General features: G+C 46.8%; 3 annotated features.

The window, feature by feature from the left end:
- Positions 1,149 to 1,650: an enhancer, noted in NCBI's record as "NANOG hESC enhancer chr17:33638706-33639207 (GRCh37/hg19 assembly coordinates)". NCBI's record gives its function as "activates a minimal SCP1, AML or CMV promoter by ChIP-STARR-seq in primed H9 embryonic stem cells {active_cell/tissue: H9 hESC(primed)}" and the evidence as "EXISTENCE:reporter gene assay evidence [ECO:0000049][PMID:30033119]".
- Positions 2,829 to 3,488: an enhancer, noted in NCBI's record as "H3K4me1 hESC enhancer chr17:33640386-33641045 (GRCh37/hg19 assembly coordinates)". NCBI's record gives its function as "activates a minimal SCP1, AML or CMV promoter by ChIP-STARR-seq in naive H9 embryonic stem cells {active_cell/tissue: H9 hESC(naive)}" and the evidence as "EXISTENCE:reporter gene assay evidence [ECO:0000049][PMID:30033119]".
- Positions 4,150 to 4,808: an enhancer, noted in NCBI's record as "NANOG-H3K27ac-H3K4me1 hESC enhancer chr17:33641707-33642365 (GRCh37/hg19 assembly coordinates)". NCBI's record gives its function as "activates a minimal SCP1, AML or CMV promoter by ChIP-STARR-seq in naive H9 embryonic stem cells {active_cell/tissue: H9 hESC(naive)}" and the evidence as "EXISTENCE:reporter gene assay evidence [ECO:0000049][PMID:30033119]".

Genomic DNA, 5,144 nt, shown 5'->3' on the forward strand with positions numbered 1-5,144 from the left:
TGGCCAGGTGCAGTGGCTCATGTTTATAATTCCAGAACTTTCAGAGGCCTAGATGGGCAGATTGCTTGAGCCCAGGAGTTTGAGACCAGCCTGGGCAACATGGCAAAACCTCATCTCTATTTAAAATAGAAAAACCACTCAGGTATGGTGGTGCATGCCTGTAGTCCCAGCTAGTCAGGAGGCTGAGGTGGGAGGATCACTTGAGCCTGAGAAACAGAGGTTTCAGTGAGCCAAGATCACACCGGTGCACTCCAGCCTGGGTGAAAGAGCAAGACCCTGTCTCAAAAAAAATTAACTTTTTGTTGTTTTTATTCATCTTATTGTACTGACTATGTCTTGAAAAGTTGGTTTTTACTATATTTGTTTATCATTTAATCTTTCTATTTAAGATAAGAGTAGTTTACACGGCACAGTTACAGTGCTATACTATTCTGTGTTTTTCTGTGTACTTTCTATTGCCAATGAGATTTGTACCTTCAGATTATTTTTTCTCATTCATTAATGTCTTTATTTCTGATTGAAGTACTGCCTTTCACATCTCTTGTAGGACTGGTCTGGCGTTTATGAAATCCCTGTTTCTGTATGTCTCGGAAAGTCTTATTTCTCCTTCATGTTTGAAGGATTTTTCACCTGATATACTATTCTAGGGTGGGTGTTTTTTTCCTTCAGCACTTTAAATATGTCATGCCAGCTCTCTCCTGGCCTGTAAGGTTGAAATGTCTGCTGCCACACTTATTGGGATTCCATTGCATATTATTTTTTTCTTTTCTTTTGCTGCTTTTGGGAGCTTTTCTTTAACCTTGAGCTTTGGAAATTTGATTATTACGTGCCTTGAAGTAGTCTTCTTTAGGTTAAATCTGCTTTGTGTTCTATAACCTTCTTGTAATTGGATATTGATTTCTTTCTCTGGGTTTGGGATGTTCTCTGTTATTATCCCTTTGAATAAACTTTTTACCCCTATCTCTTTCTCTAGCTCCTCTTTGTCCAATTTCCACTCTGTGCCTTTTAAGTGGAACATTTAGACCATTTACATTCAACGTTAATATTTATATGTGAGGTTTTTAATCCTGTTGTGATGTTGTTAGCTGGTTTCTTTGTAGTCCCGATTTGTGTAGTTGCTTTATAAGGTCTGTGAACTATGTATAATACTTAAGTGTGCTTTTGTGGTAGCAGGCATCATTCTTTCATTTCCATATTTAAAACTCTCTTAGGATATCTCGTAATGCTAGTCTAGTGGTAAAAAATAAGGTCCTTTAACAATTGCTTGCCTGGAAAATATTTTATTTCTTCTTTGTTTATGAAGCTTAGTTTGGGAAGACATCAAATTCCTGGTTGGACTTCCTTTTATTTGAGAATACTGAAAATAAGTACTCAATCTCTTCTCATTTGTAAGGTTTCTGCTGAGAAGTCCATTGTTAGCCTAATGGGGTTCCCTTGTAAGTGATCTGACATTTTTCTCTAGGTGTCGTTTAACATTTTTTCTTTAGTATTGACTTTGGATACTCTGGTGACTATGTGCCTTGGTGACATTTGTCTTGTATAGTATCTTGCAGGTGTTCTCCAGGTTTATTGTGTTTGGATGTCTACCTCTCTAACAAGATTAGGAAAACATTTTTGAATTATTCCTTCAAATAAGTTTTCCAGCTGTTTACTTTTTCTTCTTCTCTCAGGAATTCCAATCTTTTGTAGATTTGGTTGCTTAACATAATCCTATGTTTCTAAAAAATTTTACTCATTTTTAAACAATTCTTTATTTCTGTGTGACTGAGTTAGTTAGAAATATTGGTCTTCATGCTCTGAAATTCTTCCTTGTGCTTGATCTAGTCTGTTGATAGAGATTTCAATAGTATTTTGAAATTCTGTAAGTGAGTTTTTCAATTTCTGAAGATCTGATAAGTTTTAAAAAGATGCTTATCTCTTCCTTCATTTTCTGGATTGCTTTAGTAGTTTCCTTGCGTCGATTTTCAGCCTTGTCTTGGATCTCGTTGAGCTGCCTTGCAATCCATGCTTTGAATTCTCTGTCATTTCTGAGCTTCCTTTTTTGTTAGGGTCCATTGGTGGAGAGCTAGTGTAATCTTTTGGTGGTGTCACAACATTCAGATTTTTCATGGTGCTGGAATTCTTACACTGTTTCCTTCTTATCTGGAGAGGCTAGCACTTCTAATTTTTGTAATTAATTTAATGTGGAAAGAATTTTTTTTCTTTGCCTTTCTCCCCCACCCCATCTCTAGCAGGGTATAGCTACAGAGTATGTTGAGTAGGGCCTTCTGGCTTTGCTTCTGTAACCCTATGCACTTCTGTTGGCAGGTTTTACACTGGGCTGTGATATTTGATCTACAGGCCAGTAGATGGCGCTTAAGGGTAATTGTCAGCTGCGGCACAAGCAGAGGAGTATGTAACTGATCTTTGTTTACTGTGAAGTTCTCTCTATTGTCTCAGGAGGTGGGCTGGGCAGTGGAGAGCCCCCTACCCTAAGCTTTCCTGTTCTTGGAGGGTAGCTGGAGCCCCTAGCTTGCCTAAGAAGGCCCCAGTAGTGAGTGCAGGCACCAGCCCTGATGACAGTGGGTGGGTGGCTCCCGGTGAAATGCGCTGAGGTGTCTTTGGGGTGAGGAGGTTAGGGGGCTGTACTGGCTCCCCATCCTACATAGGCAGGAACATGATCTGTTTGCCTATCACACCCCTGTTCTGGGCGGGGTTGGTGACTCCTAGTTCAGACACACATAGCCAATCTCTGGACCCCTACGTGGTTGAGAGCCACAGGAAACTGTTTTGTGAGTCTCCGTGGGAGTGGTTTGGGGGCAAAACTTTGTAACTCAGCCCAATAGAGATAGCTTTGTGGCTCCTCTGTTTTCTGATGTGGTAGCACTGCTGCTTCATGTGAAGGGTGGGGCGGGGAGAGCTCCACCCCAAACCCTTACATGGTTGGTTATGGTGGTGTCCGCTGATTGGGTCCACCTGACCTCGGCCCCGGTGGAAGTTATCGGGTGGCAGCAGAGTTGGAATGGGATAGGTAGTTCCCCGTTTCCAGGACCCCAGACGGCCTGCTGGGACAGTGTATATGAGTCCGGAATGGGCTGGACCAGGGTCAGGCTAGCCCAGACTTCAGGTACGGGCTGTGATGACGAGGAGTGGGCTAGTCTCCCGGGTCGGTCACCGCTGAACTCTCAGGTGAGGGCAGGCAGAGCACTTGGGCGGTGGAATCCCAAGGAAGATCAAAAGCTTGGGGGGTTGGGTTTTCAGAAGGGCTCTGGGCTGCAGCTGAAAATGTTTACATGGGGCAGGGTGGCTGTGCTGTGGGTCTTTCACCGGGGAGGGCAGGACCCCTCAGCTGGGGCAGTGGGGACGGGGCACTCTTGCACTTCCCTCCCACGCAAGCAATGCTGGATTTCACTGCTGCGGGCACACAAAGGTGCAAAGCCTCCTCTTCCCACGCTGGCCTGGGGGTGGTAGGGATGGAGCCAAAAAGCTTGTTGCTGGCCTCAGGGAATTGGGCTCTCAAAGGAACCGAGCCATGGCCATAATTTCAGGAAGGGGCAGGAAGGCCGTTGTGGGCCGGAAGCCAGCGAGCCCGATTTGGCAGGGGACAGCAGACGCGGGGAGTCCTCGGTTACACAGTCTCCTCCTTCTTATCTCAGCTGAGACATCAGTGCTGAAGGCACAGGAAGGTGTCCAGCCTCCTTGTTCCCTCCCAGACCCGGGGGCAACAGGGGTGGAGGGGGAGGCAAAGGCAACAGAGATCGAAAAGGGCCTGTCAGCTACCTCAATGAGTCCTGCACGCAGAGGAACACCAAGTCTCCACCGCGGTGTTCGGGCAGGAATGGGGCGGGTGCACTGGGTGCCAGAAGGTGGTGAGCCTCATAGTGTATGCAGAGAGTTGCCCGGTGTGTGCAGTCTGTCCATTGTTCCTCCGTATCTTGGCTGTGACATCCATGCTGGAGGTACACACAAATGTGTCCAGTCTTCTTGTTCCCTCCTTGGCCTGAGGGCAGCAAAAGCGGAGGCAGCGGCAGTGGCGACTGTGGAGGGCTTGTCAGTTACCTCTGGGGAACTTGATCCCCATTACAAGCCATTACGAGCCACAGTGTTCAGGCGGGGTCAGGGCAGCTGTGCTAGGAGCCCAGGCCTGGGACCCTGTCTGGTGAGGAGCAGTGGGGATGGAGATGTTGTGCAGTGTGCAGTTTGGCCTCTCCTCAGCACCACAGCTGCACCACAACCTAGGGTTGTGCAGAAGAGGCTGGTCCCACTTGTTGGCAGGGCTGCATGGGGATCAAAGGCCCAGGGGTTCCACGTGGGCTTGAGTGTGCCTCTGCATAGACCCTCTGTAGGTCTGGAGGCCTACACAGTGGGGTGGGGGTTGGTCAAGGGACTCTCCCATACCCTGAATTGCAAAGACCTAAGTGTAGATTCCCCAGGGACTCTTTCTCTGCCTTAGGGAGCTTCTCCCTGCTCCAGCTCTGCCTCTCTCTCTGTTCTCTGTGGGTCCCATCACTTCCTTGAAGAAAATCCTAGCATGATCTCAGCCTATTCACTTGTAGAGTTAGTATTTACTCACTACTTTGTGTTCCTCTCTGAGAGAGAGGCAGGCACTAGCTGCTTCTACTCAGTCATCTTGAACCGGAACCTGATACTCTTCTTTTTTTTCTTTTGAGGCAGGGTCTTGCTCTGTAACCCAGGCTGGAGTGCAGTGGTGTGACCTCAGCTCACTGCAGCCTCAACTTCCCAGGCTCAAATGATCTTCCCACCCCAGCCTCCTGAGTAGCTGAGACTACAGGCACACATCACCATCCCCAGCTAATTTTTGTATTTGTTGTAGAGACAAGGTCTCCCTACGTTGCCCAGGCTGGGCTCATGTTTCCCAGGCTGGGCTGCAACTCCTGGGCTCAAGCGATTCACCCACCTCAGCCTCCCAAGTTGCTGGGATTACAGGGAGGGGCCGATACTCTTTTTCTGATAAATGACTCAGTCTTTTTGTGTGGCTGCCAATGGAATCTGTTTTTACATTCCGACAAGTATATTTTGGGTTATGTCCCAGTGTTGACTACTCAGTGTTAAGCTTCTCAGACACACGGTAGGCCTCTATGATATATAGATTCAGGTGCTCTTTTAGTTTGAACACATTTTATTCCATTATCATTCTAAATATT

Source organism: Homo sapiens, chromosome 17, assembly GCF_000001405.40.
Source record: "Homo sapiens chromosome 17, GRCh38.p14 Primary Assembly".
NCBI lineage: Eukaryota > Metazoa > Chordata > Mammalia > Primates > Hominidae > Homo > Homo sapiens.